The sequence below is a fragment of the Homo sapiens genome, chromosome 5 (genome assembly GCF_000001405.40).
Source record: "Homo sapiens chromosome 5, GRCh38.p14 Primary Assembly".
In the NCBI taxonomy this organism is placed as follows: Eukaryota; Metazoa; Chordata; class Mammalia; order Primates; family Hominidae; genus Homo; species Homo sapiens.
This window is the reverse complement of record NC_000005.10, coordinates 178,204,533-178,224,420: the sequence shown is the minus strand read 5'-3', so window position 1 is coordinate 178,224,420 and position 19,888 is coordinate 178,204,533. Positions and strand designations below refer to the sequence as shown.

General features: G+C 51.3%; 2 protein-coding genes across 41 annotated transcripts in view, besides 4 other annotated features; one reads left to right on the top strand and one right to left on the bottom strand.

The window, feature by feature from the left end:
- Window positions 1-17,277, top strand: part of PHYKPL (5-phosphohydroxy-L-lysine phospho-lyase) — a 25,679-nt gene extending 8,402 nt beyond the window's left edge. For 4 of the 35 annotated variants that reach the window (XM_011534670.4, XM_011534669.3, XM_024446243.2 and 1 more), the window contains 7 exons: window positions 1,487-1,569; window positions 1,811-2,066; window positions 8,991-9,145; window positions 9,536-9,625; window positions 11,318-11,448; window positions 12,451-12,531; window positions 15,506-15,950. In XM_011534670.4, the coding sequence (XP_011532972.1) occupies window positions 1,487-1,569; window positions 1,811-2,066; window positions 8,991-9,145; window positions 9,536-9,625; window positions 11,318-11,448; window positions 12,451-12,500 (765 nt within the window). In that variant the 3' untranslated portion in view covers window positions 12,501-12,531; window positions 15,506-15,950. 35 annotated transcript variants of the gene reach the window in all.
- Window positions 11,336-11,445: an enhancer, noted in NCBI's record as "active region_23742". NCBI's record gives its function as "activates an Ori minimal core promoter by ATAC-STARR-seq in GM12878 lymphoblastoid cells {active_cell/tissue: GM12878}" and the evidence as "EXISTENCE:reporter gene assay evidence [ECO:0000049][PMID:35858748]".
- HNRNPAB (heterogeneous nuclear ribonucleoprotein A/B) lies at window positions 13,258-19,888 on the bottom strand. Of its 6 annotated transcripts, NM_031266.3 has the most exons (8): window positions 19,681-19,888; window positions 19,375-19,606; window positions 18,411-18,579; window positions 17,531-17,689; window positions 17,196-17,327; window positions 14,974-15,091; window positions 14,149-14,289; window positions 13,258-13,868 (listed from the first exon to the last, which is right to left on the bottom strand). In NM_031266.3, the coding sequence occupies exons 2-8, from the start codon at window positions 19,581-19,583 to the stop codon at window positions 13,798-13,800; spliced, it is 999 nt and encodes a 332-aa protein (NP_112556.2). In that variant the 5' UTR covers window positions 19,584-19,606; window positions 19,681-19,888; the 3' UTR covers window positions 13,258-13,797. The 6 variants fall into 6 exon arrangements, with proteins under 6 accessions (NP_112556.2, NP_001424886.1, NP_004490.2 ...); NM_001437957.1 differs by having other exon boundaries at window positions 19,375-19,888; NM_004499.4 differs by lacking the exon at window positions 14,149-14,289.
- Window positions 18,915-19,324: a silencer, noted in NCBI's record as "silent region_16717". NCBI's record gives its function as "represses an Ori minimal core promoter by ATAC-STARR-seq in GM12878 lymphoblastoid cells {active_cell/tissue: GM12878}" and the evidence as "EXISTENCE:reporter gene assay evidence [ECO:0000049][PMID:35858748]".
- Window positions 19,355-19,464: a silencer, noted in NCBI's record as "silent region_16716". NCBI's record gives its function as "represses an Ori minimal core promoter by ATAC-STARR-seq in GM12878 lymphoblastoid cells {active_cell/tissue: GM12878}" and the evidence as "EXISTENCE:reporter gene assay evidence [ECO:0000049][PMID:35858748]".
- Window positions 19,485-19,704: a silencer, noted in NCBI's record as "silent region_16715". NCBI's record gives its function as "represses an Ori minimal core promoter by ATAC-STARR-seq in GM12878 lymphoblastoid cells {active_cell/tissue: GM12878}" and the evidence as "EXISTENCE:reporter gene assay evidence [ECO:0000049][PMID:35858748]".

The window sequence follows — 19,888 nt, the reverse complement described above, 5'->3', positions numbered from 1 at the left end:
AGCCAACAGTGAATGTCACCTCCGTTGTCACCGCCACTGTGCTAGATGCTGGGAACCCAGAGAGAAAACCAAACGAGGCCCTGCCCTCCAGGAATCTGGGATAGGGGCAGTTTGGGCTCAGCAGAGAGTCTGAGTGCACGGCCTAGCATGGGCGTGGTAGCCAGCCAGAGCCTGAGCAGGCCTTGGGAGGTACCAAGCGGGGTCCTTGGAGGGGGTGCTCTCTGACACAGTAGGGGTCAGCCACTCCAGGTGGGGTGGGGAGTAGCAGAGGAAGGGCATCCCACTGGGTGGCTGAGGAACCGTGTGAATGTGTGGCCAGGAGCTGATCCTGGAGAGGCAGGCAGGGTCCACATGCCAGAGGGCACCGGAACTATGCTGGGCGGCAGCAGTTCTGCCCTGGAGGCCCCCGGGAACCACCAGAGTCTTAAGCAGGAGAGCGCTAAGACCTGGGGCCGGGGCTGCTCTCTGACTCCAGGGCTATGTGGAGGATGGATTGGAATGCGGCGGCTTGAGGTCAGGTGACCGTGAAGTGGCCAGCAGGCCCCAAGTGAGCTGTGGGGAGGCCTGACGGGGGCAGTATGGTGGAGATGGAGTGGAGGCGCAGACATAGGAGAGAGAGGTGTGTTACCTACGGTGACAACAGAGGGAAGACTGTTGGCGACAGGTGAGGGCTCTCTGAAGGCTTCACTGAAGGAGTGACAGAGCCAGACACAGGAGGTACGACAAAGAAAGGCAGCCTGTGGGGCCAGAAAGGTTAGCAGAACCCGACCAGGGGAGCCTTGCCTGTGTGTTTCAGGTGCTCTGCGACCACTTCTATAAAACCTAAAAAAGGAGATTGCTCTGATTGCAACAGGTGTGGGGGACCAGTATCCCATCCCATTGGCCCTGCCCTCCCACCTGTAAGGCAGAATATGGTTGGGAAATCATTGCCATATGCAGAAGGGGTCACTGAGGGGTTTTAAACAACAGTGACATGCTCAGTTCTCTGGGTTGAGGCATCATCACCCTGGTGGCCATGTGGAGGATGGACTGGAAAAGGCATTCAGTTAGAAGACCTCTGCAGGAGTCCAAGGAAGAAACAGGCAAATCTGCAGGAGGCAGGCATGTCCAGGCAGAGGGCAAGGAGTAGGTTTAGAGAGGGGGCTGAGGTAGAATCCTTGGGCAGTGCTGACTGATGGGTTGAGGGAGGAGGCGTGGATCAAAAATGGGGGACAGGGAAGGAACTGGCTTATGGTGGAAAAATCAGTGCATGTAGTTTGGGGCATGCCAAGTACTAGGGGCCTGGAGGCATCCAGGTAGTAAGAGTTGGCTGGAGGCCTGAGAGAAAACTGAGTCACAAACCTTCAGATGTAACATGGAACCCAAAGTAGGGGTGCAGCACTGATGGTGACTTGTCTTGCTTGGACTAAGCCAGCACTAGCAGGGCACGCTAAGCCGGTCACTGCACAACCCCATGGTCGTGTTCCCAATGTCCATCTCTTCACAGATTGCAGCCTTCTTCGCTGAGTCTCTGCCCAGTGTGGGAGGGCAGATCATTCCCCCTGCTGGCTACTTCTCCCAAGTGGCAGAGTGAGTAGGTGGGCGGGGTCTGCTCTAGGGAGGGCAGGGGTCTAATGAGGTTTTCCAACCTCTGGTCCAAATCCCAACCTCAGCCTGTCCTGACTGCCAGAATTTTGAGACAAAGCCCTTAAAGAAAGAATGGCCCAGAGAAGGCCAGCCATTGCCCAAGGTCCCCACCTTACTGCTGGCAGAGCCAGGGTGCAAAGCCCCGAGACCTCCTGGGTCCTGATCTTATCCCTCTCAACCACAGCCCCCGTGTCAGTCATCTCCTCTGCCACAGGCACATCCGCAAGGCCGGAGGGGTCTTTGTTGCAGATGAGATCCAGGTTGGCTTTGGCCGGGTAGGCAAGCACTTCTGGGCCTTCCAGCTCCAGGGAAAAGACTTCGTCCCTGACATCGTCACCATGGGCAAGTCCATTGGCAACGGCCACCCTGTTGCCTGCGTGGCCGCAACCCAGCCTGTGGCGAGGGCATTTGAAGCCACCGGCGTTGAGTACTTCAACACGGTGAGTGATGGCTCTAAGTCAAGGGAGCAACATGGGTTCTGATAGGCCCCCGGTGATCAGCCTGTCCTTAGTCAGCAAAGGCTACAGGGCTAGCACTGTGCCCAGCACACGCTTCCAAGACGCTGTCCTTAAGGAGATTATAGCCAGGTCAGGTAAGAAAACATAAAACATCTTTTAAAATTAGTGTCAATCCAAAAGCTGTCACAAGGGACCATGTCTTATAAAATATATACAAAAATAGGAGTCCCTGTCTTCCTTTCAGCAGATGCCACCCATTCTGTGCCACGCCCTGTGTCAGGTGCTGGAACTTGAGCTGGTTAAGAGTTGTGAGGAGTGTGGTGTGCTTGGGTAACACATGATCTCAGAGCAGAGTTCGCATTGCAGTGGCTCCCTGTCTTTGGGGTACAGGGTCAAGAGCTTTCCCTGAGTGAAGCTGACACATGGCATATTCAGTGGCCCTGAGGCAGCAGTTGCAGGGTAGGTGAGAGGATGGCAGCACGAGCCCCACAGGAAAGAGCCGAGGAGTCTCACTGATCTTGAAGAGTGAGGACCACAGGAGGGTTTTAATCCTGGAGAGAGTACTCTTTGGAAAGATCTCTGGTGCTCAGTGTGGAGAAAGAACTGGAGGAAGGCAGACTGATCCAGGGAGGAGAGGAGGAGGCCCAGAGGAGGAAGGGCAGGGACAGAGGGTTGAGAATTCACTGTAAGTTCCTCAAAAAGAGCCAGTTTGAATTGGGGACTAAAACATGTCAGGATTTGGCAAGATAGATAAGGCAAGATAATGTCCTTAGGGGTGAGGGAAGTGACACTTTGGTGCATTCAGCCAAAAACCATCACTCTGTCCATGTGACACATAGAGCCTCAGAGGAGCTCACTGTCGGGGAAAGACAGGCTCACAGACACATGGTCATGACAGCGTGGAGGATGAGTGGAAGTAGTGTGTTCACGGTGCTGTGAGAGCACAAAGGACATCCCAGGCAAGAGGTGGGTGAAGAGCTGTGGGACAAGCAGTAGAGGCTTCATAGAGAAGGCAAGACCAGATCTCAGTCTGGAAGGCTGAGCAGGAAATCAAGTGGGTTGTGTAAGGGGAACAACAAAGGCCCAGTGGAGCAGCATCCTGACTTTTGTTTATTTCTTTGTTTTACTTGACCCTCAAGTGTACATAATTAGATAGAATCCTTGGTTCATGGAAGACTCTCAACATCTGTCTGTGCATAGCCCTCTTCTAGTTATTCAGTTAACCTTTATTAATGTTCTAAGCACCTGGGAAGCCAGCATCCCTAATGAAAGCTTAGACCTTGATAATATCATGTATCTCTCCAGATGTTCCCCCCAATTCCCTCTTGTTGCCTTCTCCACCCATCACTCTGAATAACCATGGTAACCATCACTCTCAATCCCATATTATTTAGTTGTTATTTGAGTTTATATGAAGTCTATCATGCTGTATATACTCTGGGGATTTTTTTTTCTACTAACATATCACTAAGAATCCTCCCTATTGCCTGTCACTGAAGTTCATTTGCTTTGACTGCTTTATAATCTTTGTATAAATGTACCACAGTTCAGTCATCCATTACTATTGCTGTGCTTTGAGGTCGTTCCATGTTTTTTTTGTTTTTTTTTTTTTTTTGCAATTATGAACAGTGCTGCTTTGAATAGTTTTCATAAGTCTCTGTTGTACATGTAGCAAGAGTTTTTCTTAGGACTGTACCTGAGGGTGGAATTGCTGGCCCATATGGTATGTGTTTACCCTTCATTTTAAAAGATAATGACATTTGTTTTCTAAAGTAGTTCACAAGTTAACACCCCACCAGTAGTGTATATAGTGTATATCCTTTTTTGTTTTTGTTTTTTTGAGACAAGAGTTTCACTCTTGTTGCCCAGGCTGGAGTGCTGTGGCGCGATCTCGGCTCACTGCAACCTCTGCCTCCTGGGTTCAAGCAACTCTCCTGCCTCAACCTCCCCAGTAGCTGGGATTACAGGCATGCGCCACACCTGGGTAATTTTGTATTTTTAGTAGAGATGGGGTTTCTCCATGTTGGTCAGGCTGCTCTTGAACTCCTGACCTCAGGTAATCCGCCCGCCTCAGCCTCCCAAAGCACTGGGATTACAGGCATGAGCCACTGCATCCGGCATTCTTTTTTTTTTTTTTTTTTTGAAACGGGGTCTCACTCTGTCACCCAGGCTGGAGTGCAGTGACGCGATCTCAGCTCACTGCAGCCTTTACTTCCAGAGCTCAAGTGATCCCCCCACTTCAGCCTGCCAAGTACCTGGGACCACCGGTGCATGCTACCATGCCCAGCTAATTTTTTGTATTTTTGGTACAGATGGAGTTTCACCATGTTGCCCAGGCTGGTCTCAAACTCCTGAGCTCAAGCGATCGGCCCACCTCGGCCTCCCAAAATGCTGGGATTACAAGGCATGAGCCACTGCACCCGGCCTATATCTTCTTCAGTGCCTTTTAATTTTTGCCAGTCAAGTGGAGCGTAAAACAGTAGCTTGTATGGTCTTGATATGCCATTCCCTGATTTCAGATTACGTGAAGTATCTCTTCATATGTTTATTGACCATTTGTTTGCTCTTCAATGAAATGCCCATTTGTGGTCGGGTGCGGTGGCTCACGCCTGTAATCCCAGCACTTTGGGAAGCCGAGGTGGGCAGATCACGAGGTCAGGAGATCGAGACCATCCTGGCTAACACGGTGAAACCCCATCTCTACTGAAAAATAGAAAAAATTAGCCGGGCGTGGTGGCGGGCACCTGTAGTCCCAGCTACTCGGGAGGCTGAGGCAGGAGAATGGCGTGAACCCGGGAGGCGGAGCTTGCAGTGAGCCGAGATTGCGCCACTGCACTCCAGCCTGGGCGACAGAGACTCCATCTCAAAGAAAAAAAAAAAAAAATGCCTATTTGTGTCTTTTGTGTCTTTTGCCCATTTTTTTTTTATTGAGTTACCAGTGCTTAATTTTATTTGTGGGAGTTTTGTGTCTGTTTGTATGTGTGTGTGTCTGTGTGTGTGTGTATATACCAACACATACATATCTATTATGCTAATCCCTTGTCTATTGTGTATTTGTGAATATGTTCATCCAGTTTATAACCTGTCTTCACTCCCTTTACATATTTATAAAGTTTTAAATTTTAACATTGTCAACTCTTATCATTTTGTTTTATAGACGGTGTTTTTCATATATTGTTTAAGATATCTCTCCCTACTCCAAGTTATAAAATATATTCATTTATGTTTCCTCTTAAGTCTTTTAACATTTTGTTTTGACATATAGGTCCTTAATCCATCTGGAGTTTATTTTTGTACACGATGTGAATCAGGAATCCAATTACATCCTTTGTGCATGTCATACTACAGTGTTTTCCTTTACTTTTTTTTGTTTTTTGAGACGGAGTCTTGCTCTGTTTTCAGGAGTAAAATGTTGGCTCAAATTTTTTTCTTATACCTTGGGTTTTGGTAACTGGGTCCTACTAACCTTATAGAATAAATTGGGAAATATTTCTTCTTTTTCTTTTACATAAAATTGGGATGATCTGTCCTTTGAAGGTAAAAACTCACCTATAAAGCCATCTGGGCCTTGTGTTTTGTGGGAAGATATTTAACTGCTGCTTTAACTTCTTTAAAAGTTATGTTTTAGTGAGTTCAAGATGCTATAACTATAACAAAATACCATAGACTGGGTGGGTTATAAACAGATTTCTCACTGTTCTGAAGGCTGCAAATCTAAGATCAGGGCACCAGCATGGTTGGGGTTCTGGTGAGAGTCCTCTTCCGGGTTGCTGACAGCCAGCTTCTCGCTGTACCTCATATTGTCGAAAGGGTGAGCACTCCCTGGGATCTCTTTTAGAAAACCATATTCGCATTCATGAAGGCTCTATTCTTGTGACCTAATAACCTAAAGGCCCCACCTCTTAATACCATCACATTGGAGGTTAGGATTTCAACACATGAATTGGGAGAGACACAAACATTCAATTCACTGCAAGTTACATAGGGTTTTTAACGTTTTCATATTTGTTCTGCCCCTTTCCTCTCCTTCTGGGACAGTCATTTGCATGTTGGTATGCTTGTGTCCTTGGGTCTATATGACTGTTTTTCTTTTCTTTCTTTTTTTTTTTTTTTTTTTTTTGAGACGGAGTTTCGCTCTGTCACCCAGGCTGGAGTGCAGTGGCGCGATCTCGACTCACTGCAAGCTCCGCCTCCCGGGTTCATGCCATTCTCCTGCCTCAGCCTCCCGAGTAGCTGGGACTACAGGCGCCCGCTACCACGCCCGGCTAATTTTTGTATTTTTTAGTAGAGACGGGGTTTCACCGTGTTAGCCAGGATGGTCTCGATCTCCTGACCTCGTGATCCGCCCGTCTCGGCCTCCCAAAGTGCTGGGATTACAGGCGTGAGCCACCGCGCCCAGACATGACTGTTTTTCTTTATTCCTTTTTCTTTCTGGTCTTCAGACTGGACAATCTCAATTGACTTTTTTTTTTTTTTTCTGAGACGGAGTCTCGCTCTGTCGCCCAGGCTGGAGTGCAGTGGTGTGATCTCGGCTCACTGCAAGCTCTGCCTCCCGGGTTCACGCCATTCTCCTGCCTCAGCCTCCCGAGTAGCTGTGATTACAGGCGCCCGCCATGATGCCCAGCTAATCTTTTGTATTTTTAGTACAGACGGGGTTTCACCATGTTAGCCAGGATGGTCTCGATCTCCTGACCTCATGATCCACCCGCCTCAGCCTCCCAAAGTGCGGGGATTACAGGTGTGAGTCACCGCGGCCGGCTGACTTTTTTTTTTTTTTTCACTGATTCTTTCATCTGCCGGCTTAAATCTGCTGTTGCCAGGTGCAGTGGCTCACGCCTGTAATTTCCTAGCACTTTGGGAGGCTGAGGTGGGCGGATCACTTGAGGTCCCGGGTTTAAGACCAGCCTGGCCAACACAGTGAAACTCCGTCTCTACTAAAAATACAAAAATTAGCCAGATGTGGTGGCATGCACCTATAGTCCCAGCTAGTTGGGAGGCTGAAGCACCAGAATCGCCTGAACCTGGGAGGCGGCAGCTGCAGTTTGCTGAGATCGCACCACTGCACTCCATCCTGGGTGACAGCGAGACTGTCTCAAAAAAAAAAAAAAAATCTGTTGAGCCTCTCTAGTAAATGCTTCATTTCATTTATTGTGCTTATCAACTTCAAATTTTCTGATTGATTTTTAATAATTTATCTATCATTAGACTCTGTTTTGGTAAGACATCATTTTCATGCTTTGCTTTCAATTTTTTAAGTATAGTTTCCTTTAGGTCTCTTAACATATTTGGTTTTGGGGTTGTTTCTGTTTGCTTGTTTGGATACAGGGTCTCACTCTGTTGCCCAGGCTGGAGTCTTGGCTCACTGCAGCTTCAGCCTCTGGAGCTCAAGTGATCCTCCTGCCTCACCCCGCAAGCAGCTGGGAGTACACACATGTGCCACCACGCCTGGCTATTTTTATTTTTTGTAGAGATGGGGTTTCACCATGCTGCCCAGGCTGGTCTCGAACTCCTCACCTTAGGCAACTCACCCATCTTGGCCTCCCAAAGTGCTGGGATTACAGGCATGGGCCACTGCACCCAGCTAACATGTTTGTAACATCTGATTTAAAGTCTTTATCCAGTAAGGTCAGTGTCAGCTTCCTCGGGCGCAGTTTGCATTGATTGCTTTTTTTCCTCCCGTGTCTGGGCCATGCTTCTTTGCATGTTTCAGAATTTTGTTAAAAGCTGGACATTTTAAGTAACATAATGTGGCAACTGTGGAAATCATATTCTCCTCCCTCCCCATGGTGGTTCCTTTTTCTTGTTTAATGTCTTTTCTGAACTAATTATGTAAAGTTGTGTTCTTTGTCATGTGTGGCCACTATAGTCTCTGCTTGATTAGCTTAGTGGTCCTCTAACCATTAGATCTCCTTAATTGCCTGGAACCCGTAAGTCACTCAGCCAAGAGTTTATAACTGCCTTAGACTTTACTTCCTCATTCTGCAGAGGCTCAAGGTAGCCAGTGGTGAGAGCTTAGGGCTTTCTAGATCTTACCTGAGCATGCACACAGCACTGGGCATAAGCACATCCCTATGCATATGAATGGCCTTCTAGACTCCCAGGAGTACGTCACAGCCTTTCAAAGCCCCCTGTAGCCATCTCATAGTAACAGAAAGCAGATCAGTGGATGCCTGGGTCCAGTAGTAGCGGGACGGTTGCACAGGAAGTGATGAAAATGTTCTGCAACTTCACTGCGAGGGAGGTTACACAGGTACATACATTTGTCACCTCACGTTGAACTTTATACTTTAAACACAGTTTATATATAAATTATACCTCAACAAAGCTGATGTTTTTAAAGATGTAGTTTAAAAACGAAACAAAAAACGTGGTTTGCAGGAGACACCTTGCTCGTGATCCTCTAAAACACAGGTCTCCACTCAGATACCTGCAGGATGAGGACAGGGTGGGCGAGGGAAAGGAGCCAGAGCCCTCCAGGGGTGTGAAGCAGCTTTTCCTGGGTGGGGCTTGGCGTGCTGCGCTCACTCTCCCTGGAGGAGGAAGTGCCTAATCCAGTCCTCTGGGTCTGGGCCCAGGAGATGGGGCCTTAAAGCCTCTCTTGGTAAAGACTAGCCCTGTGGGAACAAACAGGACACCCTCTCCTCTGATTCTGTATCTTCTAGGGGCTCCTACTGTACTTCAGGGATACCTGACCTGAGTTGCAGTCACATTAGCTCCTGGAAAGCCAGGACAGCCCATGTTGAACCCCACTTACTACTGCTGAGGACTGTGCGCCCTAAGGGGTTTGGGGCCTCTGCTCTTGCCACTGGCCTTGGAACACGTGTGGCAGTTCTTCTGCCTCACCCTCACTCTGGGGCATGGCCCACTCTGCCAGGGCATCTGACATGTTCTTTGTCCCTGGCTCAGTTTGGGGGCAGCCCAGTGTCCTGCGCTGTGGGGCTGGCCGTCCTGAATGTCTTGGAGAAGGAGCAGCTCCAGGATCATGCCACCAGTGTAGGCAGCTTCCTGATGCAGCTCCTCGGGCAGCAAAAAATCAAACATCCCATCGTCGGGGATGTCAGGTGAGGCTCTGGGGGCAGCAGTCACCACCCACCTGCCAAGGCCCAGTGTGGTACCATTTTCTTCACCTCCTAACAACCTGGGATGGTGGGGTTATGTCCGCTCTCAAGAGGAACTGAGACACTGAGAGGTGCTATTGCCCAAAACGGCTCTCCTGGGGAGGAGAAAGCTAGGACATGACCTGATCCCTAGCTACCCCTGAGCCTCTCTCCTCTGTCCACACCAAAGATCTCTCCCAGCCCAGTTATTCCCTGAAACTATTCTCACCACCTTCTGAAGGTGCCTCCTGCACTCAGCCCCCTCAGGAGGCACAGGTAGGAGCCCAGAGGCTGAGGCCAGCACCCTGGCCCCTCAGGCCTGGCCTCCTGAGATGTCGTCACCTTCCCTTGCAGGGGTGTTGGGCTCTTCATTGGTGTGGATCTGATCAAAGATGAGGCCACAAGGACACCAGCAACTGAAGAGGCTGCCTACTTGGTATCAAGGTATTTTCTTCTTGAAACAAGTTGCTTCCTGGAGTAGGAGACACCACAGGTACCTCTTTGCAGGGCCAGTGGAAAGGAGCCTCATCTGTACCCCCAGCACTCTGGGCCACAGACTTGATTGAAAGAGGGCTGGGGCTGGCGGGTGGGGGCAGTTGTTGGGGGACAGCTGATCCTATCAGCTGAGGACAGAGATAAGTGGTGTTAGCAGTTCTGTACCCAGTGCCTGACTACAAAGGCTGCAGATGAGACACAGGCTATTCCCAGACCAGAGCAGCACCTCTGCCTAGAATGCCCAAGCTAGCAGGGCACTCAGACCCAGGAACCCCTAATGCCACCTTGGCCTGGAGAAGGGAAACACCTTCTCTATTCATACCAGGGAGCTGTGGCAGCACTAGACTCAGGGTTCCCATGCCGCACGACAGGTGGTTGGGATGGACAAGACTCCTGCTCCTAAGCTGGGTCGGGGGTGTCTCAGAACTCAGACTCCACCGGTCCCAATGCCCTGGTTTGCTTGTCCTTTCACTTGGACCCCAAGTCCTCAGGACTTCTTCTCCTTCTAGTTGAATTGTTATTCCCTTTTATCTCCATTCCCCAGGCCTACCCCTTCCCCCACGCCCACCATGGAAAGCTCTTCTGGTATTTGACGTGTCCTTATTCAAATTGTGAGACACGCGTGGTATTGATGTAAATCTCTGTGCTGTATTTGAACTTGGCCTTTCCTGGTCCCGCCTTCTCTCTGCTGTCAGTCACATCCCCAGCTTACTCCTACCCCCCTCCCAGGAGCCTCAGGGATTCGGAATGGTCAGGTGGCATGGAAGGAAACAGATCCCAAGTTCAGCCCGTGTCTCACAATACCCTGGGGGTGCTTTTCCAGTTCAGTGAGGAAATGGGTAAGTCACCTGCAGTTACCCTGCTAGGTGGCAAGAGCTAGATCTGGCCCCAGGGCCGTCTAACTCCAAAGTCCAAGCCCTGTTCTTTCTGGCGTGGCCATGGTCAGTGCCAGGAAGACTGGGACAGGAAAATGAAACCAGAAGGCACACTCCCCACCCCCAAGAAATAAAAATAACAAGGTTTACAAAAGAAGGGGAACAATGATCAAAGAATATAAACACAATCATGCAGACCCCTCATCTCAGAGATGAGGTTAGACTGTGGACTAAAAGTGATTATTAGCTACAAATGATGTTAAGATAAAGCCATCTTCCTAAGAATAATTGGACATTTTAAACTGGAATTGTAAGATAACCCGGAAGACAGGGCAGGAAGATGCCTGAAGCTGGTGAGGGGCACGTGGAGCTCATTACACCAACTGCAATGTTGGACATTCTCTATATAAGGAAACAATATACATCACGTAAACCACACAGAAAACCAGAGAATGCAGGTGACTCTTGCAGTCTGGCGTTTCCCTGTGGCCATTCATTCTTGGCTTGGACTGTGGCTCCAGGGTTAGGTGAGGCAAGGTGCCTGTTCTGTGGGGCAGCAGGCTCAGGGCCAGGTGCAGTGCACTCCAAGCAGGCTGCTGTGGGCCAGATGCACAGGACTCTGGGAGAGGTGACCAGTAAAATGACCTGGCAGGAACTGGCCCATGGAAGGCTCTGAGGACAGTGTGGCTGGAGCACTGGACATGAGGCCAAGGCCAGGCTGAGGAAGGCCTTGAAGGCCATGTGAAGGGGTGTCCTGTCCTCACAGGCTGAAGGAGAACTACGTTTTGCTGAGCACTGATGGCCCTGGGAGGAACATCCTGAAGTTTAAGCCCCCAATGTGCTTCAGCCTGGACAATGCACGGCAGGTGGTGGCAAAGCTGGATGCCATTCTGACTGGTGAGCTTGAAGCCTGAGCTTGGCCATATCTCTAGAACTCAGCCTGAAGCCAGCAACTAGAGCCTCCTAGCATGGAACAGGGAGGGGACAAGAGTCCAAGAGCAGAGGCACATGTCCTCTGGACAGGGCAGGGAGCAAGAGAGGGTCTTTCATGGCCCAATCTGCTCCTATTCCTGCCTGTACCTAAGAGAGCTTCCTGGGCTGTCAGGAGGTGGAAGGTGAGCCACCACCCAGCCTGCCTGAGCAGGCATCAGATGTATGCAGGACAAAGCAGTACTGGGCCTGAGAAACAGGCCATAAGAACTACAGTGGGAGTTGAGACCCCATTACCGCCAGCCTAGGATGTAGAGATGGCAGGAGTTTCATTCTGTACATGAGACAGGTCACACAAGGCTGCTGGGTGGCTGAAAGATTGGTACCACTGAGGACTGACGGAACTCAAAATGAAAACTCTACCCCACATTCCCCATCACCTAGGATGGTCGTGGTCAACCCAGGGTTCCCCCTAAATCCACTTACAAGGAAATCTCATGGCTGTGTTGCCATTTACAGCTCAGTGAGACCCTAAATAGGCACAGTTGCATCTCACAGTAGAGATCACAACTGCCAGCCAAGCAACCTGTGCCCTCCTACCTCTGGGTGATCACTGCTACCCACAGGTATGCTTAATCCCAGGGCTCTGGAGCTGGGGGAGGCCCATCCCTGCTAGACACAAATTGGAAGTGGTAGGGATATGATGAATAGGAGTGTGTTTGTGGAGAGCAAAGGCTGGCCACAGAACAGGCTTAGGGATCCTGGACAGAGCCTACAAATCTCAGGAGAACTGAGGGCTGGCTTTGTTTTTCAGGAAACTGCTGCCACCCCTTTGGGGAATGGGACATGGGTGTGGATAGCCAGAGGGCCCAATCTCTAAACTGTCCTCCAGTTTGGACACTGAAGTCAACAGGGCATCTTCAGCAGAGAAAGGTGACTGAGTCGGCATTGCTTTGTGGTCTTTTTCAGACATGGAAGAGAAGGTGAGAAGTTGTGAAACGCTGAGGCTCCAGCCCTAAGCCAGCCCTGCTCTGCCTAAGTGTACTCCAGGTGAGTGGGCCTTGCTTCTTACTCTTGAAGATGCACAGCGGGTTCCTTACCATCAGCAGCAAGCAGCCTCGGCAAGCTGAGCCTTTTTTTAAGACTTTTTTTTGTTCTGACTGATGCTCCTTCCCAAAGGTTAGTTTCTTCAACACTGGAAATTCTCCAATGCTTAGCTTGCACTTGATGGCAGGAACAGCTATATCCTCCCTTGAAACCTATGGGGCTGTATCCACGTGGAACCCCAACCCACCCTTGCCTCTTGTAACCACCTAGTCTTATGCCCTAAATACCAGACCTGGAGTTGGGCTCCAATCCAGCCAATAAACATCCCCTGCCAGAGCAGGCTTTTCTTCACCAGCCAGGAGGAGCACTATTGTGCCCCAATTCAGACGGCCCTGGCACTGCCCTAGTGTGTAAAGAATCCCATTTTTTCATTCATCAGCCAAGAAGGTTGGTGTTCCAAGGTGTCCCAGGAGGGGACATGCCTGCTGGGGATGTAAGCCCTCATCACTGCCCCATCCTCACTCCCCATAGGCCTCTCATTCCTTTCTTTGAAGGGGGGCTCAGCCCTAGGCAGGGCAGTCCTTAAAGGATACCCCCACAACTGGGCCTGCAGCTGGAAGAGCCTGCTGCAGGAGAAAGCCCCAAGTCCAGGGCACCTGGCACCCCCCCCCCGCCTCCCTCGACCCTGAGCAAGAGGTCTCACACAGCATATCCCACACTCACCCAGGCTTGGGGGTTTTTAAATTTTATTTCAAAAGCTTGGATAGCTTCAATATCCAGGTTGTGGCAAAATCAGGACACGTGTAAAATACCTTACAATACATTAGATTCCCAAAAGGTACCAAAAAGTACAGTAAAATTAACACTTCCGTTACAGGAAATGTATGACGCAAATAATATAAAATTAAAAGGTGAAAAAAAGGTGACACTGGTTTCCTAAGATACAATTTACTCTTTACAACCAGGGTCCACAGGTCCAGGCTGCAGAGCGGCAGCAGGAAGCAGAGCCTCCCACCTGCTTCTGGGGGACCTGGTAATAAAAATCAGCCCATGATGGCGCTATGGCCTCTCAGACACCACACGCTGCCTAAACACCTAGAGCTCTGGAAATAGTCAACAGGAGAGTGATTTCCATGGGGGAAATTTTAAATAAGATGCACATGGGACAGGCAATAGAAAGTTTGCCAAGTTAAATTTGGTACATAATTGTGTTCACTCCATATCCAAACAAAGCATGTGTGCGATCAGTTGGTCGCTCCTGCTGCCGCCTCAGTATGGCTTGTAGTTATTCTGATGGCCACCACGTCGCTGGCTCTTGCCGTAGTTTGTACTACCCTGACCTAGGGACGAGAACAACCATAGCAGCTACTATTTACAAGCATTTGCCCTGTGCCACGCGCTTGATATGCATCTTCCCAGGACCCTCACCAGCCGTGACAGCAGAGACTGCCTTCCTCATGTTATTAAGACCCCGAAGTCTAAGGCTCAAAATCAAGTAGCTCCCATGGCTGAGCCAGGCCTGTCTGACTCCAAAGCCCCTGCTGCCAGTGGCTCCTACACTGTCCTGCCTCCCCTGGGGACGAGGGGTGAGCGGATGGGGCCTCCCTCTCTCCTACTTACTGTAGTCGTAGCCGGGGCCGTAGCCGTAATAGCCATAGGGCGAGTAGTCGTAGCCGCCATAGCCAGGCCCGTAGCCCTGCTGGTAGCCGTAGCCCTGGTTCCAGTAGTTGCCGTAGCCCTGATTCCAACTCTGACTCTGACCTGTGGGGGGAGCAGGGCACAGGGGCCCGTGGACCATTTAGCATACGCAGGAGCTAGGATGGAGGAAATCCTGCCCTTTGGGGTGGCAGGGTTACTGTGGCAACTCAGGCAGAAGCCAAGGGGCTGCTGTTCTGGTGTATAAGGGCCCTGGGCCCAACCCTGCATCTGAGAGACCCAAGCAGAGGATCAGAGACCAGGATGCTAACTTTACTTGGGGCAAACAAGGCAGCTCACTCACTCAGTCACTCTCTGATCACTCCCACTCTCCTTGGCAGCTTAGCCTTTAAAAAGATGCAGTTCAGGCTTTGGAGTCAGAGGGGCCTGGGATGGAAGGGGATAAATGCCTGGCACAGCTCTGCCCTACCCACCCTTCTGCCTACCTGCTCACAGGTGTACCAGACTCAGGACATCCACAAAGCCAAGACACCCATCACATCCCCTCCCCCAGAGTGTAACACAAATGCTCTCTCTGCCCTGGGCACCCAAGCCATTCCAAGGGGCAGCAGCAGGCAACAGCCTCAAGCATACAGCCCTGACCCAGAGCCGTTCCTATTCCTGTTCGTCCCCAACCTCACACAATCTGCCCACCCCTGCTGCACAGCACCAGAGGGAGCCCCAAGACAGGCTTGGAAGGCTCCATGTAGGCAGGGAAACAGGACCTATCTTCATCCACGTTCCACTCACCTCCACCTCCACCACCACCTCCGCTGCCTCGGTTCCCTCGGTTGCGGTTTCCACGGCCCCCAGAGCCATACTGCTGCTGCTGATAGACTTCTTTGGGCTGGGCCACCTTGATCTCACACTAAAAGTCAAGAGGACAGTGGTCAGGCCAGTAGGACAAACTCAGGGCAGTGACTGCCCAAACACCTTCACTGCGACAAACATCAAATGGTGGATCAGGTCCATTTGCTGAGAAACAAAATATGCTAGTATGGGAGGCCACCTTTGGGCTAAAGCTCATGGAATCCCAACTAAAACCAAAGGCCTTCCAGCAGAGAACCCTTCCGACAGAATGCACTTGAGATGGGCATCTCAGCCCCAGAGCAACTCCGTATCTAATGGAGGCAGGCAACTGGGCCAACTGCAGCCCAGGGGAGCAGAGGACAGGCTGGGACCAGGCACCACACCTTGGTCCTGCTGGGCTAGAGGGTCAGACAAGACTTCTCAGATGAGGGGCCTTAGACAATGAGGTTTTAACATCTTTTTCTCTTTACAGAAGAAACTCATCTCATCCAAATACACGCTATTGAGAAGGCGAGCCTGACCTCCCTCTTACAGATAAAGTCAGCTTTCAGAGGCTCAGGGTGGGGGGGCCTGCCCGAGGCCATAATGCTACCCACCCCCTCCTCCTAACCACTGGTCTGTTGGAATAACCCAGATGTCTGCATCCCCTCAAGTCAGTCAATTTCCTTTCTGTCCACTGGGGGTGGAATGGGGTAGGGTGGGATACTTTAAAGTGCTCCTGCTTAAATAAATTAGACCAGACCAGTGTATTTCTAAAGAAAATCCTGACATGCACACCCATTAAAAATAGTACATTTTACAGTGTCCCAGTCATACTTTTAATTGGCAAATTAAAATAATGCAATCTGATATATTCTATCCTACTAAATTAAAAATACTGAATATAACCAACTAAATATACTTACTCCTAAGACTCACTACCAGTAGTTTCACTTAAACTCTGCCTTAGAGGCTCTTCCCACCCATTTCCCATTATGGCACATAGAGAAAAAGGCCTCTATCACTGTCCACTGGAGTAATAACCACTGCTTCCCCTAACTGCCTCAAAGACTGTCATTTTATAGAAAATTTAAGACTATCCTAATCCACTCTTTCCAAACTCCCAGCCAGGATAGAGACTTCCAGGAGTTCCACCTGTCCCACCTTATCTGGCTGCCAACTCCTGCTCAGAAACAGAACCTGCCACACCCTGCCACTGCAGGCCGCACCCTCAACTCCCAACTGCCAACTTGAAGCCTGAACTACCCTTTCCCTGACCAGAGTTCAGGAGGGGAAGAGCTACACCTCCCTGCACATGAATCCACTCATTTGAAAGCACAACTGACCCTGGATTTAAGCTGGCCAGGACCCTGGGAGATCTTTGGAAGGATTTTTGCCTGGGTTTAGGGTTAACTTAAAGAGGTGCCCAGAAGACCAAGTGAGGCAGTTCATGCCTGTAATCCCAACACTTTACAAGGCCAAGGCAGAGGATGGCTTGAGCCCAGGCAACATGGTGAGACCAGGCTTTAAAAAAACATATGAGCCAGGCATGGTGGTACATGCCTGTGGTCCCAGCTACTCGAGAGGCTGAGATGGGAGGATCCGGTCCGCCCATGAGGTCAAGGTTGCAGTGAGCCATGATTGTGTTACCGCACCCCAGCCTGGACAACAAAGCAAGACTCTGTCTCAAAGCAAAAAAAAAAAAAAAAAAAAAAAAGTGCTCAAAGTGGATGGAAGTGGACAAAGACTTGGTTGTAGAAGGAGGTAGAAAGGCTCTGGAATAAGAAAAACTTCACCACAGAGGAGAATCAGTGAGTTGCAGAAGTTCTAGGATCTTCTGAGACCTTAAACTGCAGGCTTCATACCCCTGGACTCAAGAATCTAGAACTGTCACCTCTAGCTTTAAGTGAGGAGCTAAAGAGGCTACTCAACCTGCTCTATTCACAGAGGCCACCTTCTCCTACCTCCCTCACATCCTGTGTTGTTTATTGGCAGTCCTCCCAGCCTGAGAAGTCTTTCAAGGATTGGAACACTGCCCCAATCAGGGCAGCATACGCTTCAGAGAAATAGTAAAGTCTGACCAACCTGGAGAGCTCCTGCATGAGGCCCAACCCCTAACCCATCCCTCTAAGGGCCAGCTCTCCAGCAGCACAGGAGGCCAAGCAGAGCTGGGAACACCTTACCTTGCTTCCACTGACAGTATGGAACTTTTTCTCCAGAACCTTCTTCACGGGTTCTTCTTCTTTAAAGGTGATAAACACAAAACCTCGTCTTTTGTTCAACTTTGGATCCATTGGCAATTCAATGGCCTCAATCTGCAAAAAGCATAGGCAAACTCAGGCCCAATACCTCCCTACCCCAGAGCATATAGGGGACTCACAGGAGAAAAGACCCCATTGAAGACAGAGGGTGAAAAATAAGCCCTGCCTGGGAGGGTCTAGCCAGCCAAGGATACCAAGGACCAGAAAGAAGGCAGCCTTAGGGGCAGCTGATGGGCTATTCCCAGAGCCACACTCACCTCCCCAAACTCGCCAAAGTACTCCCTGATCTTTTCCTCAGTGGCTTCAGGATTCAGACCCCCAACGAAGATTTTCTTCACCGGGTCCTTCTTCATAGCCATGGCCTTTTTAGGGTCAATGACACGGCCATCCAGCCTGTGCTCCTTCTGGTCTAGGACCTGTTCCAACAGAAAGGGGTCAGGCTGACTCAGCAGCACGAGCCAGACAAGGCCCTTCTCTCTAAGCCATAAAGACACCAGTACAGATACAAACATGTGTTTCACCCCCTCCAAATTCTACCCCAGCTTAACCTCCCAACCCAATTTTCATCAAACCTCAAGTACAGCTGGTTTACCTCGACACCTAGAAAACAGTCCTCACACTTAAGCCTTTGATCATGCTCTTCCTGCCCAAGCAGTCCCAGCGTGAGGCCCATCTCCAGAAGCGAAGCAGCAGGGACTCGGAGCATAGGCTGAAGATGGGCCACAGGGGAAGGAATCCTCCCTCCACTCCCTACTAGCTGTGACCTCTTCTACTTACATTTCTGAGCCTTAGGGTTTTGGTTTTTGTCCTGTAAAATGGGGCTAAAAGCCTATCATACCAATCATGGACTCTCTTGTAATCCTCCCAGATGTTTAGCGCCGTACCCAGAATAGGCACATAAAAGGTAATGAATGTCAACTGTCATCTTCCCGAACCACTCCAGCACATTCTCTCACTCCCAGCTTAATCTGTATTTTCATCCCCTCAAAAACCGGAACATAACCTCCGGCTTTGGGTTTTGCCCAAAGCACTTAAATCACATGCAGACCACACAAACTAGTCATGCTTTAAGAAAGGTGTCCTCTTAGAATTCAAATCGTTTCCACTGAGACTGCTGAAATCCAGTACCCAGCTTACCTTCTCCACACTGGCTGCATCTTTGAACAGGATAAACCCAAACCCTCTTGACCGTCCAGTGTTGGGATCCATTTTTATTGTACAGTCAACGACCTCTCCAAATTTAGTAAAATAGTCTTTTAAATCTTTTTTGCTAGTATCCCAGCTCAGGCCACCAACGAACATTTTTCTGAAATGGTAGGGTGAGACACACGGCAACAAGTCTTGTAAGCAAGCTGTGATTTTGGAAAGGACTGGCCCTGGCAAAGTTCTCACGAAGTCTACAGCTACCCTTAGAGTCTGCAAGGAGCACCTTAGAAAGATGTTAAATCTCCACTACCCTCCAAATTGAACTCAACCAGGACCCTAACGAGGCTTAACAAGGCTCTGCAGCCCCAGCCTGTGAGAAGCAAAGAAGGGACCACCTCACCAGGGGTATGGGACCTAACCACTCATAACTGGAAATTCATGTGTTCTACAACCATGTAGCAAAGGGCCAGCGTCTCCACCAACTCCTGAGAACTCGTTTCAAGGAACTCGATGTTTCCGGGGACCAAGCCCGCCCAGGGTTCAGACCGTGACTCCGCCCCCGGGAGAGGCGGAGGAGGGAGGTCCGGGCCCCGGCTCGCGCCAACTCCGCCCACGCAGCCGCCGGCGCGGCCCAAGACGCCGCCGGGCCCCGGGTCCGAGCGCTTTCCCTCTTCCGGGCCATCCGCCCGCCCCTGCGCCGGCTCCGGCCCTGGCCCTGGCCCTGGCAGCGCGCGAGCGGCCCCGGGGCGGCGCCAAAGTCGACCCAACAAACTCCCGCAAACTCCAGCGCGAGTGGCAGCGCCAGGCCCGGCCCGCGAACGCAGCGGCGACAGTCCGCGGGCCGCACCAGCCCCGACCCGGGCCAGGCCGCCGCCCCTCCCCCCGCCGCGTGGCGCCAACAAAAGGCGGCCCCGGAACAAAGGCGGCGCCCCCGTCCGCCCGCGGCCGCACCTACCCCGCGTCCTCCTCGTTCTTGCTGGCGTTGATCTGGTCGCCCTCGGCGCCGTTCTGATTCCCGCTCGGGGGCGCCGCGGTCGCGCCTCCAGCCCCCGCCGCGGCGCCCGTGCCAGCCCCGGCCGGCGACTCGCCTTCGGGGACGGCCTCATGTCCGTTCTCGGTGGCGCCCGTCGTCTCCATGGGCTGCTCCTCGCCCGCTTCCGACATGCTAGGCCGAGGCGCGGCGGCTCCTGCAACCAGCGGCGACAGCGCGTCAGGCCGGCGCGGCTCCCGCCAGAGCTCCCGCCCGCCGGCCGCCGCTCACCTCGCCGCCGATGACGCCGCGGGGCCCGCTCGTCCCCACCCGCAGGGGAAGGCGCCGCAGGCTCGGCCGCACTCAAGCTCGCGCTGCTGAGGCCTCGCCCCAGTCAGCCCACGGAGCTGCTCCAACTGTGTCTCCTCCTCCTTGGCCGCCGCCGCACGGGAACCCACCGACCAACAGCCAAGCTCCGTCCCGCGCGGTGCCGCCGCCT

Excerpts from the sequence above, each read along its gene's own strand:
- HNRNPAB (NM_001437957.1), bottom strand. The coding sequence starts at position 19,583 with ATGTCGGAAGCGGGCGAGGAGCAGCCCATGGAGACGACGGGCGCCACC. Across the intron at positions 17,328-17,530 it reads ACTTTGGCGAGTTTGGGGAG|ATTGAGGCCATTGAATTGCC; the intron begins GTGAGTGTGGCT and ends TGCTTTTTGCAG. Across the intron at positions 15,092-17,195 it reads ATACTGTCAGTGGAAGCAAG|TGTGAGATCAAGGTGGCCCA; the intron begins GTAAGGTGTTCC and ends CTTGACTTTTAG.